The sequence below is a fragment of the Homo sapiens genome, chromosome 9 (genome assembly GCF_000001405.40).
Source record: "Homo sapiens chromosome 9, GRCh38.p14 Primary Assembly".
In the NCBI taxonomy this organism is placed as follows: domain Eukaryota; kingdom Metazoa; phylum Chordata; class Mammalia; order Primates; family Hominidae; genus Homo; species Homo sapiens.
Genome location: NC_000009.12, coordinates 135,623,159 through 135,642,280, shown reverse-complemented (window position 1 = coordinate 135,642,280; position 19,122 = coordinate 135,623,159). Strand labels below are relative to the sequence as shown.

At 42.4% G+C, this 19,122-nt stretch overlaps 1 protein-coding gene across 6 annotated transcripts; it reads left to right on the top strand.

Moving 5' to 3' along the window:
* The first annotated feature begins 1,064 nt into the window (after window positions 1–1,064).
* GLT6D1 (glycosyltransferase 6 domain containing 1) lies at window positions 1,065–18,633 on the top strand. 6 transcript variants are annotated; one of them, XM_011518637.3, is made up of 7 exons: window positions 1,065–1,177; window positions 1,955–2,015; window positions 2,699–2,988; window positions 3,088–3,164; window positions 10,803–10,850; window positions 16,075–16,212; window positions 17,611–18,633. In XM_011518637.3, exons 4-7 carry the CDS (start codon window positions 3,094–3,096, stop codon window positions 18,182–18,184), a joined length of 831 nt encoding a protein of 276 aa, XP_011516939.1. In that variant the 5' UTR covers window positions 1,065–1,177; window positions 1,955–2,015; window positions 2,699–2,988; window positions 3,088–3,093; the 3' UTR covers window positions 18,185–18,633. The 6 variants fall into 6 exon arrangements, with proteins under 6 accessions (XP_011516939.1, XP_024303302.1, XP_011516937.1 ...); XM_011518635.3 differs by lacking the exon at window positions 1,065–1,177 and adding an exon at window positions 17,076–17,183 and having other exon boundaries at window positions 1,999–2,015; window positions 2,794–2,988; XM_047423349.1 differs by lacking the exon at window positions 1,065–1,177 and adding an exon at window positions 17,076–17,183 and having other exon boundaries at window positions 1,999–2,015.
* Window positions 18,634–19,122: the final 489 nt, after the last annotated feature.

The following is a 19,122-nucleotide window of genomic DNA, read 5'->3' as shown; positions in this document are numbered from 1 at the left end:
CCTGCCTCAGCCTCCTTGAGTAGCTAGGACTACAGGCATGCACCACCACGCCTGGCTAATTTTTGTATATTTAGTAGAGATGGGTTTTTACCATGTTGGCCAGGATGGTCTCCATCTCTTGACCTTGTGATCTGCCCGCCTCAGCCTCCCAAAGTGCTGGGATTACAGGCATGAGCTACGGCGCCAGGCCTCCTTTTCCAATAAGAAAAACTATTTTATTTTCAAATGAGAGGGGTGAAATAAATAAATGTTCCCATTATGATCACGAGTGAAGGCAGCTGTCTGAAGATGGTGGAATTGTGTACGATTGTCATTTCCTTTGTGTGGCGAGGCATCTGACTCATAACACAAAAATGCGCTATTTCTGTAATCAGGAAAATAAGTACTTCAAGGACATTCTAAGACAGTATAAGAAGGGATTTACTCTCTGGGAGTGATCAGATAGAACCTCAAAGAGGATGAAGGAGGAGAAGGATGCTGCATTTTTCCTCTGTTTTATGAACGTAAACATAGGTCATTCAAAATATCTCTCCATAAGTAAGAATCAGTCATTAGGAAGTAAGGAGACACAACAATGGAAATGAAAAGCAAAAGGATATTTAGAAATATCCTTTAATCTTTCTTTCTTTCTTTTTTTTTTGAGATGGATTCTCGCTCTGTTGCCCGGGCTGGAGTGCAATGGCATGATCTTGGCTCACTGCAACCTCTGCCTCCTGGGTTTAAGCGATTCTCCTGTTCTCAGCCTCCCAAGTAGCTGGGATACAGGCACCCACCACCATGCCCGGCTAATTTTTTGTATTTTTAGTAGAGACAAGGTTTCACCATGTTGGCCAGGCTGGTTTTGAACTCCTGACCTCAGATGATCTGCCCACCTTGGCCTCCCAAAATGCTGGGATTACAGGCATGAGCCACCGCACCCGGCCTACCCTTTAATTTTTCAAATGGGACAAAGTCTTGTCCTCATAACCATGGGAAGAACCTGTGGGCAGAGGCATCACTGTGACGCTTGCATCATCAAAGGTGCCCAGTGACGTCAGCACCAACGGAAGACTCCAGCGCTAGGAGAGCAGTAGATGGCAGCTGGTTTGTGACACGACACAGACCAAAAGATATGCTTAGAAGATCCCTGTCCCTGTGGAACATCTTTGGCCATCTCTTTGCATCACTCTAACCCAAGGTAAAGGACTTTTAAAGAGGGATCTAGGAAAGTTTGGATGATTGTGGTAAAATCAGGGTTTGGGTCATCCTCTAACCTTGACCTCAGAAAGATATTGACAGACAGGCAGCTCATCAACATACAGCTAGTAGCATGCCCAGGGATGATGTCATGGAGGAGGGCACACTGCTGTAGAGAACCTGGCTAGATGGGCCTGTCTTACCCCATCCACATGGCATTTCTAGTGATCTTGAACTTAAAAGGTGGTCAGTTTCCAATTGCAGAGGTACAAGAACTGGGCCCAACCGAAGCCTGCCCAGGAAGGGATTATATGAAGAACTGCCCCATAGAAATATAATGTGAGCCACATTTTCTTTCTTTCTCTCCTTTTTTTCTTTTTTTTTTTAGATGGAGTCTTGCTCTGTCACCCAGGCTGGAGTGCAGTGGTGCGATCTTGGCTCACTGCAACCTCCGCCTCTTGGGTTCAAGCGATTCTGCTGCCTCAGCCTCCTGAGTAGCTGGGATTACAGGCGTGAGCCACCACACCTGGCTAATTTTTGTATTTTTAGTAGAGACGGGGGTCTCACCATGTTGGTCCTGCTGGTCTTGAACTCCTGACCTCGTGATCCTCCCCCTTCGACCTCCCAAAGTGCTGGGATTACAGGTGTGAGCCACCACGCCCAGCCTGTGAGCCACATTATCAATGTCCGGTTTCCTAGTAGCCACATTACAAACAGTAAGAAGAAACAGGTGAATTAATTTTCATAATTTATTTCTCATTTAACTCATTCTTTCCAGACTATGACACCCAGACTGTTACCGTTTCACCTGTGATCGATGTGAAGTTATGAGTGAGATGGTAAATTATTTTCTTTCGCACTGTGTTTGACTTTGAGACCCCATGTGTTTTGTACACTTGCAGCTCACCTCATTTCACAGCAGCTGCATTTCACACACTCGGGACCACATGTGGCAAGTGGCTACTCTATGGCTATCAGTGCAGAGCTAAAGTGTCATGTTTGTTAAATGAGTGTTCAAAATTGAAAATCACTGGAAGGCTGAGGTGGGCGGATCACCTGAGGTCAGCAGTTTGAGACCAGCCTGGCCAACATGATGAAACCCCGTCTCCACTAAAAATACAAAAATTAGCTGGATGTGGTGGCTGAGGCAGGAGAACTGTTTGAACCCAGGAGGCGGAGGTTGCAGTGAGCCAAGATTGTGCCACTGCACTCCAGCCTGGCAGACAGAATGAGACTCCATCTCAAAAAAAAAAAAAAAAAAAGTGAAAATCAGAGAATCAGAGACCTGCATTTTGTGTGGACACACAGCGCAGTGGCGTGTTCCCTATGGGCTTGTAAACCAAATCCCACGTGAAGCCTCCAACACAAGCTCAGGCACTGGTGAGAGTCCAGACTTCCATTGTAAAGTCTAATGCCTTTAATGTAGACTTCATTCTCCGTTTACAAGATCTACCTTTGAGAGCACTTGTAAATTTTTAGACTGGCATAGTCTTGGAACAAATTATTCATCTTACTATCTTAGTGAGGAAGAAAGAATAAAAAGTCGACTTCGGGGGCAGAATACATTCTCCTAGATCAAGAAGACTTCCTCATCAAGACCTCATTCTATTTGCACAGCCCTGCAGTGGAGAGATTTATTGCGTTTCTTTCATGCAATCAACGCAGACTTTGATGTGAACACGGGGAGAGACAGTGCACGTGCAGCTGACCCACGGGGAACAGTCAGCCCCGGGCACTTGAAGGAGAACAGAGGCTTCCCTAACTCAAGTCGCTGTCTCCTGCCAGCTGAACATTCTAGAAGCAACCTCTAAGGTTGGTGTCCAATGCCCATACATTAACCCATTGTTAGATGATGACAAATATGTCATTTTTTATTGCTTAAAATCTAATTTTTTCTCCTTCTTTCCCTAGGAGAGAATGAATTCTAAAAGAATGCTGTTATTGGTTTTATTTGCTTTTTCACTGATGTTGGTTGAGCGTTATTTCAGGTAAATATAAAGTATTGATAAATCATGATCTTTAGTGATTGGCAGAGGTGGTTTTAATTTAATTAAATTAATTAATTTAATTTTTGAGACAGGGTCTTACTCTGTTGCCCAGGCTGGAGTGCAGTGGTGCCATATTAGCTCACTGCAGCCTTGACCTCCCAGGCTCAAGTGATCCTCCCACCTCAGCCTCCTGAGTAGCTGGGACTACAGGCACATGTCACCACAAACAACTGATTTTTGAATTTTTTTTGTAGAGACTTATGTTGTCCAGGCTGGCAGAGATAATCTAAACTGCTGAGTTTTGTCCAAAGATATCAATACTACTCTCTAAATAAATCAGAAGTTACTTTCTCTTTGTGGGACAAAGGAAAATATACATATTTTAATTATTTCATTGTTAAACATTCAACAATTATTTACAGAGTGCCTTCTAGGTGCCAGGCTGTATTCTAGGTGCTGGGGATGCAGTGATAATGAAAGTGCCTGTCCTCAGGGAGCTTTCATTCTATTTGGAGAAGGTAGACAATAAATACACATAAAAGACAATGCCAGGGATATAATATTTTATAAAACAAGCATAATAAAAAATAAAGGTGACAATGCCATTTTAGATGAATTATAAACTATCTCAAGTTTCCATCTTTGTGTTTAATATAAATAATACTAAAGGTTCCATCTTTGTGTTTAATGTAAACAAGACTAAAGTCAACCTAATTCTATGCATATAGAAGCATGTGTACTAGAGGACGCATCTGTAAACCTGCTGGTATGGTTTGGCTCTTTCCCCACCCAAATCTCAACTTGAATTGTATCTCCCAGAATTCCCACGTGTTGTGGGAGGGACCCGGGGGAGGTAATTGAATCATGGGGGCTGGTCTTTCCCATGCTATTCTCATGATAGTGAATACGTCTCATGAGATCTGATGGGTTTATCAGGGGTTTCCACTTTTCCGTCTTTCTCATTTTCTCTTGCCGCTGCCATGGAAGACATGCCTTTTGCCTCCTGCCATGATTCTGAGGCCTCCCCAGCCATGTGGAACTGTAAGTCCAATTAAACCTCTTTTTCTTCCCAGTCTTGGGTATGTCTTTATCAGCAGCGTGAAAACAGACTAATACACCTGCTAATATTTTCCCGTCTAGAAAAACTCAAATTCTAGCTTTCTCCATACCACTCCTCATGGTCTTCTTCATAAGCAATGCAGTGTTTCCAGAGGCTATTTGAACAGCAGTAGTATCATGACAGATAATAGTTTTTAAAAATGAAAGCTTTGCACAACATGTATCTGGTAAGGGACTTGTACCCAAAATATGCAAAGAGCTCTTAAAATTCAACAATAAGGAAACAAACACCTAAATTTAAAAATTAAATATTGACATTTAAAACATTTAAAAATGAGCAAAAGAACTGAATAGAATCTCACAAGAGAAGATATACAGATGGGAAATAAGCGAACGCCAAGATGCTCAGTCTCATTTGTCATCAGGAAATTGCAACGAAAACAAGGAGATACCACTACACACCCATTAGAACGGCTAACACCCAAAAATCTAAAATCTGAAAACCAGCTTCTGGTGAGGAAGTGGAAGGACAGGAACTCTCATTCATTGCTGGTGGGAATGCAAAATGTTACAGGTACTGTGGAAGACAGTGTAGCAGTTCCTTAGAAAGCTAGATAGAGCCTTATCATGCCACAGAGCAACTGTGCTCCTAGGCATGTAGCCAACTGATTAAAACACTTATGTCCACACAAACCCTGCACAAGATGTTTATAGAAACTCTATTCATAAATGCCTCAAACCACTAACATACTAGATGCCCTTCAGCAGGTGGATGATAAACAAGCTGTGGTTCATGAAGTGCTCAAAACCAGAAACGAACAAGACGACTTTCAATAGGAGAAGGATAAACATGCTGTGGCTCATCTGTGCAACGGAATAACACCCAACAGTAAAAAGAAATGAGCTGGCCGGGCACGGTGGCTCATGCCTGTAATCCCAGCACTTTGGGAAGCTGAGGAAGGTGGATCACCTGAGGCCGGGAGTTCGAGACCAGCCTGACCAACATGGAGAAACCCCATCTCTACTATAAATACAAAATTACCTGGGCATGGTGGTGCATGCCTGTAATCCCAGCTACTCAGGAGGCTGAGGCAGATGAATCACTTGAACCTGGGAGGCAGAGGTTGCGGTGAGCTGAGATCACGCCATCGCACTCCAGCTTGGGCAACAAGAGTGAAACTCCATCCCCCCAAAAAAAAGAAAAAAAAGAAATCAGCTATCAAGCTGTTAGAAGACATGGAGGAACCCTAAATGCATATTGCTGAGTGCAAAAAGCCCATCTGAAAAGGCTGCGTGCTGTATAATTCTCATGTGACATTCTGGAAAAGGCAAAACTATATTGGCAGGAAAAAGATCAGTGGTTGCCATGGGGTGGAGGTGAGGGAGGGGATGAATAGGTGAAGCACAAAGGAATTTTGGGGGGCAGTGAAACTGTTCTGTATGACAGTGTAACCATGGACACATGTAACTTTGCATTTGAAAAAAAACCCACAGGACGTTACAGCACGAAGAGTGAAATTAACATATGTAAATTTAAAAAATTAGCTAGGAGGTTCGAGGTATCCTAGGAAGCAATGCAGACTGTGAGAACATAATCTATATCCCAAATGTACAGAACAATCCCACTGGAAGGGGTCAGGGAAAAAGCTGCTGACCTAAAATAACTTAGGAATGAGTGGAGTTTTTTTTGTTTTGTTTTGTTTTGAGACAGAGTCTCACTCTGTCACCCTGACTGGAGTGCAGTAGAGCGATCTCAACTCACCACAACTTCTGCCTCCTTGGTTCAAGCGATTCTCCTGCCTCAGCCTCCCTAGTAGCTGGGACTACAGGCACATGCCACCAGGCATGGCTAATTTTTTATTTTTAGTAGATATGGGGTTTCACCATGTTGGCCAGGCTGGTCTCAAACTCCTGACCTCAGGTGATCCGCCTGCCACAGCCTCCCAAAATTCTGGGATTACAGGTGTGAGCCACAGTGCCCAGCTGGGTATGAGTGGAGTTTGAAAGTAAAGGCAATAGAAACTGTACATGAGCACTGTACATGTATTTGGGTCAATAAAGGTTTTTTCCCACAGGAATATGAGTTAACAATTCTGCTGCTGCTATACATGTATATTTGAATCAATTAAATAAATGGATGAGGCATGGGGGAGCAAGTTTCTTGCTGTTGGAGGGAACTTCATAGTTAAGCAAGAGAGGGGGCCACAGTGATCCACGTGGGAATGGATTGAAGCTGGAGACCTCAGCGTGAACTCACGTTTACCTTACTATGAACAGAGACATTTACGTGTCAACGTGTTTAAAGATATGTGGAAATACGCACAGGTTAGTGTCTATTTCCTTGCTCTGTTAGCTGAGAGGGCCTCGGAGGAAGGACACCCTGGAAGCAATGAGCACACCTGGTACCCAGATCTTGGCTTCTAGCACCATTCTCCAGGAAAGCAGCAGATCGTGGTTTCTAGCACCATTCTCCAGGAAAGCAACAGATCTTGGTTTCTAGCACCATTCTCCAGGAAAGCAACAGATCTTGTTTCTAGCACCATTCTCCAGGAAAGCAGCAGACCTTAGTTTCTAGCACCATTCTCCAGGAAAGCAACAGATCTTGGTTTCTGGCACCATTCTCCAGGAAAGCGACCAAGGCTTCTTGGAGAAGTGGATGGTTCTAGATTCGGACAGGAGATTTACAAGATGAGCCCAGAGCATCTCATAGTGCCAGGAGGGATGGAAGGGATTTTTTTTACAAATTCTATATTGAAGGGAGTATGTCACTTAAATGGGACATGGGAGCTAACTGGGAGAGCTCCCGATGGCCAAAGCTGAAGCCTTTTGAGCAAGAAAAGAAAGTAACATTGAATTATAACCCAAAGTATGAAACGAACTTCCACAAGTTCATACTGATGTAAATGAATGATTGGAGGAGCAAAAAGAAGGAAGAAAGGAAGGAAGACAGGTTGGCTGGATGTTGGAAGGATAGAAGGAAGGAAGAAGGGAGAAGAGACAAATCTCCCATATGCAGAAGAATTCCAAATCATGTCTGTAGATTCTCCACTACCAACGACACAGAACCTGACGCCCCAGTCCTGAAGTTTGGGTTGCGCGCAGCGCTTTCTTATAAAGAAAACGGGGAGAAAGAGCAGTCTTTGCGTGGAGAAGCCCGAAAACAGAACCCTAGCCAGGTGAACAAGGTCAGCATCAATAGGAAGTCATGATGGGGTCTGAGAGGCGGCTGCAGTCAAGAGGATCCTGTGCAGACAGGAGGCTGAGTGGAGTGTGGCGTGCTGGGTGGGATCCAGACAGGAGGCTGAGTGGAGTGTGGCATGCTGGGTGGGATCCTGAAAAAAAAAGAGACATTAGGGGAAAACAAGAAAATCCAACCAAAGTATGGACTCTCGTTAACAATACAGCATCAGTGTTGCTTCATGAATTGGAACAAAAGTACCCTACTAAAGCTAGATGTTAATAATAGGAAAAACTGGGTTGGTGCAGGGGATTCCGCATACTAGCTTTAGAACGTTTTTGTAAAGCTGAATCTTCTCTAAAAATAAAGTTGATTGAAACAAAAAAGGGGAAATAAAGTAAAAATAAATCATGCCAAAAAAAAAAAAAAAAAAAAAAGGAAAGGAAAAACAAGGCCAGGCATGGTGGCTTACGCCTGTAATTCCAGCACTTTGGGAGGCAGAGGCGGGCGGATCACTTGAGGTCAGGAGTTGGAGACCAGCTGGCTGACATGGCAAAATCCTGTCTCTTCTAAAAACACCAGAATTAGCAGGGTATGGTGGTGGGCACCTGTAATCTCAGCTACTTGGGAGTCTGAGGCAGGAGAATAGCTTGAATCTGGGAGGCGGAGGTTGCAGTGAGCTGAAATCGCACCACTGCACTCCAGCCTGGGAGACAGAGTGAGACTCTGTCTCAAAAAGCAAAACAAAATGACCACCCCCACTGCTTTGGTGCCATGTATTTTGTGTCATTTGTCCTCCTGGAGGATTGTACCTTAATGAAAAGGATGCATGGCCAGTTATAAAGAGTTTCAGATGCTCTGTTTGAGGATAATGATGGAGTAATCTTCAGCAGAAAGGGGACAGGGACCCATACGCTAATCCATGGCACGGATTCTACCATCTACCCCGGAACCACAGCCAGGGGCCTGGCATGTAGGAGGTGCTCACTCATTATTTGGTAAGAAATGCATAAATAAATGGATCTTGATTCTAGATATTTTGTTGTTGAAATTGCAATGGGTCTTTGTTCAAATTTAAAACTTGAATGATTTTTTTTTCATTTATTTAAAGAATAAGGAGTTATTCACTGGTTGGGTTGATCCATTTAGGAAATAAACATACAGGATGCTCAGTAACATTTGAATTTCAGGGAAACAGTGAATCTTTTTTAGCAGAAGTATGTCCTATGCAATAGTTACACTAAAAATTTATTCATTGCTTATCTTAAACTGAAGAGATGTCCTGTGTTTTGTCTAGCAAACTCCTCTATAGAAAAGGAATCTCAGGCCAGGTGTGGTAGCTCATACCTGTAGTCCCAGCACTTTGGGAGGCCGAGGTGGGCAGATCACCTGAAGTCAGGAGTTTGAGACCAGCCTGGCCCCGTGTCTACTAAAATACAAAAATAAAAAATATTAAAAAAACATTAGCCAGGCGTGGCAGTGGGCACCTGTAATCTGGGCTACTCAGGAGGCTGAAGCAGGAGAATTGCTTAAACCCGGGAGGTGGAGGTTGCAGTGAGTTGAGATCATACCACTGCACTCCAGCCTGGGAGACAGAGCAAGACTGCCTCTCAAAATAAAGATAAAAATAAAAATAAAAGTAGAAAAGTCATCTCAGCCGGCGAGAATATTTGTTGTCTAAATATTCCACAAACTGCAAAGCAAGGCTGGAGGGGGTCAACTGGGTACTAATGGCAAGAGAGGCAGGGGAAACGGCAAACCAAAGACAGCTCTAATCCCTGAAGACACCACTGTCTGCGTATGTGTAGGCTGATTTGTATGTAATGCACGTGTATGTGTGCTTGCGTGTGTGCGTGCACGTGTGTGTGGTGAGCTTGAGGATTTGGGGGTTGATTACAGAAAGGACAGGACAGGCCGTGCGTGGTGGCTCACACCTGTAATCCCAGCACTCTGGGAGGCTGAGGCAGGTGGATCATTTGAGATCAGGAGTTGGAGACCATCCTGGCCAACATTGTGAAACCACATCTCTACTAAAAACACAAAAAATAGCTGGGTGTGGTGGCGTGTGCCTGTAATCCCAGCTACTGGGGGTGCTGAGGCAGGAGAATCACTTGAACCCAAGAGGTGGAGGTTGCGGTGAGCTGAGATTGCGCCACTGCACTCCAGACTGGGCTACAGAGCAAGACTCTGTCTCGAAAAAAAAAAAAAAAAAATCTCTGTCGAGGGTGATTTTTTTCTTTAGGTTACAATAACCCTCTTCAGCCAAGGATGTTCTCTGCTCTGGTCATTCTGCAGGGCCCCAGAAATTAATAAGACCAGCACGGTCAAAGAATGGGGACTTTTTATTAAGTTCCCCCTTTTCGTTTCATGTTTTTGATGAAGTCTGGCATGGACAGTTTGGATTTTGATGAATCTACGCCTGGGGAATCCAATCATGGAATGTCTGTGGCTAAGGATACTCATGATAATGCCAGAAAGGGGGACGGACAGTCTTGAAGTCATTTCTTTCACTTAAAAATATCCCAGGGTTACTATCCTAGGCAACGCAGGGAGACCCTGTCTCTACAAATAATTTAAAAGTTAGCCGGGTGTGATGGCACACCCCTGTGGTCCCAGCTACCTGGGAGGCTGAGGTGGGAGGATTGCTTGAGCTCAGGAGGTTGAGACTGCAGTGAATTGTGATGATGCCACTGCACTCCAGCCTGGGCAGCAGAGTGAGAGCCTGTCTCAAAAAAAAAAAAATTGCTCCCAGGGTTATGAAACAGAGGTTGCCTAATAAGCTTGCTAATTTAATAATTAGCTTAAAAGCACAATTACACTCTAGAAGAACGCAGTGTTGAAATGCAAAGGGAGGTAGCTTGTGCCTGTGGTCCCAGATACTTTGGAGGTTGAGGTGGGAGGATGGCTTGAGCTCAGGGGTTTGAGGCTGCAGTGAGCTATGATCATGCAAGTGAGAACGCATCTCTTAAAATAAATAAATAAAATAAATGCAAACAGAATCAAAGATGAACTTCTGGATGCCTCCTCCCCACCTCTTTACAACATAGAGCAGAACCACTAATGTTTGGTAAATAAATTAATTGAATCTATGTTTTTGTCTGAATATACATTCTCTTAGCTGATCTGTTCATCTCCTTTTATTAAAAAAATCTTCCTCCCAACACTCATACTCTTTCCTGATATTCTGCTTTTGGCCATGACCTCCTTTCCCTACATCTCTTTCCTAGACTAGCTCATACCCTTCCCCACCCAGCTGAGATATCTCTTCTCTGGGAGGCTTCCCCTGACTCTGATTTGGGTTGATGCATGTTGACGAAACACCAAACGGGGCCTGCCTATCACAGGCTCAATAAACATTGAACAGGCTCCTTGCAATCACTTGATTTTCTCTTTGTATCCAGGAATCACCAAGTAGAAGAACTTCGGCTCTCAGACTGGTTTCATCCTAGGTAAGAACAAAAATGCCTGTTTACATGCACACACAAACAATATACTTCAATTGGAAGTAACAGGTTTTTCTTCCCCAGTCACCAAATTCAGCTCTCCTGGGACGTTTCCAGAATTGGAGTTTTATTTTCGAGGCTCTTATAAACAAACCAGGGTCTGTTGATCAAGAACCAGGCGATGATTGTGGTCATGAAGAAGCAGACGCTCTCTACCTGGCTTAGCTTTCCTGGTTTATGCAGTGCGAGAAAGTCTCTTCGGAACCAGCTTGAATATGCCACTGATGACGCTGCTTGACTTTGGTGGCAGCACTCAGGGGCAGCCTCATCCTTTGTAAAGTGTATGTGGTTTCAACTTTGTGTTGTGTTCCTATGTAGCTTTGGGGTTATTTACAGTTTGGGGGCTATTGCAGGCAAAGTTCTGGTGACTAAATGTAACCCGTCTTTTTTTTTTTTACACAGATATATGACTTCCGGTGTGAGACACATTTCTAAAATGAAGTTATTAGGCCAAAGAATGCAGACATTTAAAATTTTTGATGTAAATTTTAAATTGCTAAATTTACTTTTAATAATGGTACCATTTTATCTTCTTGTCTACAGTGCATAAACTAAAGTATTACCAGCTTTTTCATGTTTGGCAAAGCTGCTAGTTAAGGCATCTCAATTCAATTTGCATGTCTGTAATTGTTTAAGTATCTTTTTTTTTTTTTTGTAGAGACAGAGTTTTGCTCTTGTTGCCCAGGCTGGAGTGCAATGGTGTGATCTTAGTTCACTGCAACCTCTGCCTCCTGGGTCAAGTGATTCTCCTGCCTCAGCCTCCCGTGTAGCTGGGATTACAGGTGCCTGCCAGCACACCTGGCTAATTTTTGTATTTTTAGTAGAGACAGGGTTTCATCATGTTGGCCAGGCTGGTCTTGAACTCCTGACCACAGGTGATCCACCTGCCTCGGCCTCCCGAGTATCTTTTTATATGTTTACTATTCATTCATATTTCATCTTTTGTGTAGTCTTCTTTTTTTTTTTTTTTCTGAGACAGAGTCTCACTCTGTTGCCCAGGCTGGGGTGCATGGCGTGATCTCGGCTCACTGCAAGCTCTGCCTGCTGGGTTCACACGATTCTCCTGCCTCAGCCTCCCAAGTAGCTGGGACTACAGGCGCCTGCCACCACGCCTGGCTAATTTTTTTGTATTTTTAGTAGAGACAGGGTTTCACCGTATTAGCCAGGATGGTCTCGATCTCCTGACCTCGTGATCCACCCTCCTTAGCCTCCCAAAGTGCTGGGATTACAGGTGTGAGCCACCACGCCTGGCCAAAATTACATGACATATAGAAAATAAAATGTCGAGTTTTATTACATTTTGTAAATGGGTAAAACTCTCCAATTAAAAAAGGCAGAGATTGTTAGAATGTATAAAAACATATTTATATGCCGTCTACAAGAGACATTTTAGATTCAAAGATGCAAATTGGTTTAACTAAAAGAATTGAAAAGTGTATACCATACAAACAGCAACCAAAAGAGACCCAAAGTGGCTCTATACAAATATCAGACAAAATAGACAAAGACAAAAATTGTTACTAGAGAAAAAAAATGGGGCATTTTATAATGACAAAAGGATCAATCCATCAATAAGATACATCAAATATATAAACATTTGCATCTAATAACAGTCCTAAAACATATGAAGCAAAAACTGACAGAATTGAAGGGAGAAATTGACAATTCAACAAGAATAGCTGGAGACTTCAGTACTTCACTTTCAATAAGAGACAGAACAACTAATCAACAAGCAAATAGAAGGCTTAAAAATACTACAAACGAGGCCTCACAAACATCTATAGAACCACCTAACAAGAGAAGAATACTCTCAAGTGCACATGAGACATTCTCCAGGATAAGCCATATGTTGCACAATAAAATCTCAGTAAATTCAAATGATTGAAATCATACAAAGTATGTTATTTGATCATTTTTTTCTAAATTCTAAAATTAAAAATCAATAACAGAAAGTAATTTGGGTAATTTGTAGATGTGTGGAAATTTAACAGTTCACTCCTAAATAATCAAAAAAGAATCACAAGGGAAATTAAAAAATTTTAAGGTGATTGAAAATAAAAACACTACATGCCAAACTTATGGGATGCAGCAAAAACAGTGCTTACTGAGAAATTTATAGCTATAAATGCCTACATTAAAATGAAAGATCTCAAGTCAATAACGTCCTAATTTTTGAATTTTTTTGTAGAGATGAGGTCTTGCTGTGTTGACCAGGCTGGTCTTAAACTTTATACACTAAGGAAAATTTATACATTAAGAAAATCAGAAAAGAAGAACAAAATAAAACTAAAGCAAGCACAGGAAAAAAAGAAGAGCAAATCAATTAAATAGAAAATAGAAGAATAATAGAGAAAATGAACAAAACCAAAATTGGTTTTTTGAAAAGATAAACAAATTTGCCAAAAGTGTAACTTGATTGTCCTAGCTAAAAAGGGAGAACTGAAATTACTAGAATCAGGAGTGAAAGAGGGGACATGACCACCAACTTCCAGAAATAATAAGGATTATAAGTGAATACTGTGATTAATTGTATGCCAACAAATTAAATAACCTATATGAAATGAAGAAATTCCTAGAAAGACTAAAGAAGAAAGGGAAAATTTGAATAGAGCTATAATAAGTAAATACATTGAATTAGTAATAAAAAACTTTCTACAAAGAAAAGCCTAGAAATACAAAATGTCATTGGTAAACTATGTCAAATGCTAAAGAAGAATTAATATCAATCTTTCACAAACTCTTCAAAGTATTAAAAGAGGAGTGTTTTTCAACTCATTCTAGACCAGTATTACCCTGATATCAAAACCAGACAAAGGTATCACAAGAAAACTACAGACCAATATCCCATATGAATATAAATGCAGAACTTTTCAGCAAAATACTATTATAGAAAACTGAATCCAGCAACATATAAAAAAGGATTATACACCATAAACTACATAGTGGGATTTATTCCAGGAATGCAAGGTTGGTTCAATGTATGAAAATCAATTAATGTAATACACTGTATTAATAGAATACAGAATATAAAAACCTCAGGATCATCTCAATAGATGCAGAAAAAGCGTTTGACAAAATTCGACACTTAAAAAAATATAAATACCCAACAAACTAGAAATGGAAGGGAACTTCCTCAACCTGATGAGTCAAAAGTACAACAACAATAAAAAATAGGTAAAGTGGACTTCATCAAAACTAAAAACTTTCATGAATCAAAGGACATTATCAAGAAAATGAAAAGACAACCCACAGAATGGGAAAAACATTTGCAATTCATATATCTGATAAGGGCCTAATATCCAGAATATATAAATAATTCTTATCATTAAACAACAAAATGACAAATAGTAATTTAAAATGGGCAAAGGATCTGAATAGCCATTTCTCCAAAGAAGATATACTAATGGCCAATAAGCACATGAAAAGATGCCCAACTTTATTAGTCTTCAGGGAAATGCAAATTAAGGTCACAATGAGATAGCACTTCACTCTCTATGATGTATAAAGATGTATAAAGTAGGATGGCTGGAATAAAAAAGATAACAAAAAAGTGTTGGTGAGGATGTGGAGAAATTTGAAATTTCATATACTTTTGGTGGGAATGTAAAATGGTGCAGCCTTTATGGAAGACAGTTTGTCAGTTCCTCAAAAAGTTAACCATAGAATTACCATATGACCCAACAATTCTACCTCTAGATATATATCCAAGAGAATTAAAAACCTATCTTCACACAAAAACTCACATATGAATTTTAATAGTAGTATTTGTAATAGCCAGAAAGTGTAAATAACTCAAATGTTCATCAACTAATGAACATATAAACAAAATGTGGTCTAGCCATCCAATGGAATATTATTCAGCCATATTTCCAGAACAGGCAAATCTACAGAGACAGAAAGTAGATGAGTTGTTGCAGGGATTGCAGGGAGAAGGGAATGGGGAGTGACTGCTTTTGGGTAGTGATATATCAAAGTATTTCATTTTCTTTGGAGAAACTGTAAATAGCATGTGTTTTAAATATTACTTTCTGCATGTTCATTGTTCATAGTAATGAGATTAATTTTTAATGTGCTGATCTTGTATCCTGAAACTTTGCTGAGTTCACTTGTTAGTTCTAGGAGATATTGGTTTTTTTTTAAGATTCCTTAGGATTTTCTATGTAGACAATTATGTAATCTGCAAATAGGGACGGTGTTGTTTTTTTCCTTCCCAATCTGCTGGCTTTTATTTCATTTTCTTGCCTTATTGCAGTGGCTAGAACTGCCATCACTATGTTGGTACTGCCACGTTCCTCATTGTAGGGAGAAAGCATTCAGTCTTTCACTATGAAGTGTGTGCACTGTAGGATATTTGTAGATGTTCTTTGTCAAGTTGAGGGGATTCCCCTCTATTACTTTTTTTCTGGGAGCTTTTATCATGAATGGACATTGAACTTTGTAGGGTGCTTTTTCCGAGTTGAGCATGTGATTGATCTTCTCTAGCTTTCAATATGGTGGTTTACATTCATTGATTTTCAGATGTTGAATAGCCTATCTTAAATCCTGCTGTTGTTTTGTTGTATTGAAGGCAAATCGGATGGCTCGCTCCGGTTTTGGACTCATCTCTCATTTCTGCTGGATTGCACTGGTGGGCCTAAAGCATGAGGGAGAAGCTGAAAAAAAGGGCATCCCCAGAAACTTGTAGGAAAAGGGGAGAGAGAAAAAGAAAGCAGAGAAGGAGGGAAAAATAAAGGCATTGTGTAAGGGAGGTGATCTCCTGCCTCCCATCCTGGCTTCAGCGAATGATTGGAGAGTGTTCTGACTCCCGGCTGCCTAATTTTGAGCTGTAGTCAGAGCTTGGAAAAGGCAGCTCCTGGGCTCAAAGGCAGTGGCTGGGGGAGGAACGCACAAACCCAGGAGCCAGGTAGGCTGGATGTGGCATCCCCACGTGTTAACTGCAGTGTCAGGCAACTTACTCAACCGTGTGTGCCTCTGCTTCCCCACGTGGAGATCAGGGGTGGTGGCACTCATTGCATAGGGCGTTGCAAGGATGAATCCAGTGGGATGATGCACTCAAACACGGAGCTGGGCGCGCACTAGGTGCTCTCTAAGCATTAGGCATTACTGCTCGGCACCTGCTGCCGGCGCCTCAGTAAAGCACTCCCTGTTTAACTTGGTTCTTGTTCCACAGAAAACGCCCTGATGTTATAACGAAAACAGACTGGCTCGCTCCTGTCCTATGGGAAGGGACTTTCGACAGGCGGGTCCTGGAAAAACATTACAGAAGGCGGAATATCACTGTGGGCCTGGCCGTCTTTGCTACTGGCAGGTAGGTGCCACTCACCTTTGCCCTTTTTTATTTTGGGAAAATGTGGATCAGCATTCACGAGCCTTTAACCTCCAAAGAGCCAACCATAATTAAGCATAATTAGTGATAACAATAGCCACGATTTCTGGGGAGAAACAAACTTACCTGTCCAAACCCAAATAAGGGACTCAAAGACCTGGAGAACAGTGAAAGTGAGACTTTTAGTGACAGTCTTGCAAGATCGGATGTCTGATGGGCAGGCACACCCAGCACAGTTTCAACTGCAATTTATCCCCTAGTGCACAGGTCCCTCCCTCAGTTCCTCATAGGCTGAGTACTTGGGGTCACAATCTTCCCAGACGTCGCCTATTTGTTGTTGGGCAGGGGCTTTAGGTGTTTTCTTTAGGGTGGTCTTGCTGCATTTTGTTGCAGCCCACAATGCATTGCAATCCTAGTGAGCTCAGGGGCTCTTCAAGTATCTGACTTATGACCTAAGTAGCTGAGCAGGCTGATAAGAACAGACAAAGTGAGCTATTTTGCAGACTAGTAAAGTTTTATCTTAGACTAAACTTTTTTGGTTTGGGTGAGGGCAACTAAGGCAGGAGGCCGACAAGCAGGCATTGGCTATTTAAGTGGGGACCTAGTATATCCTGTTTCTTTTGTAGTTTGCTGACCTGAGCCGATTTAAGGCCCTTTGTCTTGGAGATGGTCTACTATAGACACGATTTCCTTCAATTTCTGGCTGTCCTGTACAAAAGGTGTGCTGGGTTTCTCTGTCGATGGCCGAGTCCTTAACACCAGTGGGAACCTTTTGACTCATACCCATTTAGCTCCTGCTCCCTTTCTTCACAACAGCCATTCCAAAACATGGTGGCTTTTCTCAGGCCCTCCAGGTCAGGACATTCCTTCCCACTCACCAACTCAGCTGAAGCTGTGGGCCCGACTCCTCCACGCTTGTACATCCCGAGTTCCTTAGCATCAGACACACCCATGTGAGTGCATTCAGCCGCCTCTTCTCCTGATCATGTTTAGAAAAGTAAGTGTCGGCCGGGCACAGTGGCTTATGCCTGTAATCCCAGCACTTTAGGACGCCGAGGTGGGTGGGATCACCTGAGGTCAGGAGTTCGAGACCAGCCTGGCCAACATGGTGAAATACCATCTCTACTGAAAATACAAAAAAAAAAAAAAAAAAATTACCTGGGCGTGGTGGCAGGTGCCTGTAGTCCCAGCTACTTGGGAGGCTGAGGCAGGAGAATTGCTTGGACCCAGGAGGTGGAGGTTGCAGTGAGCCGAGATCACGCCACTGCACTCCAGCCTGGGCATCAGAGGGAGACTCCATCTCAAAAAAAAAAAAAAAAAAAAAAAGAAAGAAAAGAAAAAAGAGAAAAGTAAGTTTCTTCCCCACTGTGTGTTTCCTAGGTTTGCAGAGGAGTACCTGAGGCCGTTCCTACACTCCGCAAATAAGCACTTCATGACAGGCTACCGAGTGATCTTCTACATCATGGTGGACGCCTTCTTCAAGCTGCCTGACATAGAGCCCAGTCCTCTTCGAACGTTCAAAGCATTTAAAGTGGGCACCGAGAGGTGGTGGCTCGATGGCCCCCTGGTGCATGTGAAGAGCCTGGGTGAACACATCGCCAGTCACATCCAGGACGAGGTGGACTTCCTCTTCAGCATGGCTGCCAACCAGGTCTTCCAGAATGAGTTCGGGGTGGAGACCCTGGGCCCGTTGGTGGCCCAGCTCCACGCCTGGTGGTATTTCAGAAACACCAAGAACTTCCCTTATGAGAGGAGGCCGACCTCAGCAGCTTGCATCCCGTTTGGACAGGGAGATTTCTATTATGGCAACTTGATGGTTGGTGGCACACCCCATAATATTTTAGACTTCATCAAAGAATATCTGAACGGAGTTATTCATGACATCAAAAATGGACTCAATAGCACTTATGAAAAGCACCTTAACAAATATTTTTACCTCAATAAACCCACCTAGCTGTTATCACCAGCATACAGCTGGGATCTTGCATTTTCTCCTCCTCCACAGATCCAATACGTCAAGGTCGCACATGATTCCCAGAGGAAATTATGAATTACGCCATGAGGTTTATGACGAATAAATGAATCACGGCAATTTCTTATAAATGAGGGAAGTCTTAAGACCTTCCATTTTTTAGAGACATACAAATTTACATCCTTCCCAAATAAATGTTTCTTCTTGCCATTTTGAGCCATCTTATTTGGCTAATGTAGGATAAAGAATAAAAGGATAATTACTTAATGTTAATACACAGTAATGTTATTATCTATGTATTGTAGACAATGTGAAAATACATTTGACATAGAATGAATATTTTTAATGGAGAAAGACTCTAGTTGAGAAAAAACATTCATAAAATGGAAAAGTAGTTCACGCAAAGGAAAAAATAAATGCCAGGCCACTCACTGAGTAGTCACTGTGTTTTTCCACACTGGGATATGTGTGGCTTGTGGTCGACCTCGCCTATTGTCTCAGTCTGTTCGGTGTGTGATTCGACACAGGTGAGCTAGAGGAATCCAGCCAAAGCCACGTCTTACTATTACGGTTTCAAAGTGAGATATTCAGTTCCTTTTGTTAAAAAGCTATAGATATTGGCCGGTTGTGGTAGCTCATGCCTGTAATCCCAGCACTTTGGGAGGCCGAGGCAGGCGGATCACCTGAGGTCAGGAGTTCGAGACCAGCCAGCCTTGCTGACATGGTGAAACCCCATCTCTACTAAAAATACAAAAAATTAGCTGGGTGTGGTGACGGATGCCTGTAATCCCAGCTACTCAGGAGGCTGAGACAGGAGAATCGCTTGAACCTGGGAGGCGGAGGTTGTAGTGAGCCGAGATTGAGCCATTGCACTCCAGCCTGGGTGGCAAGAGTGAAACTCCATCTCAAAAAAAAAAAAT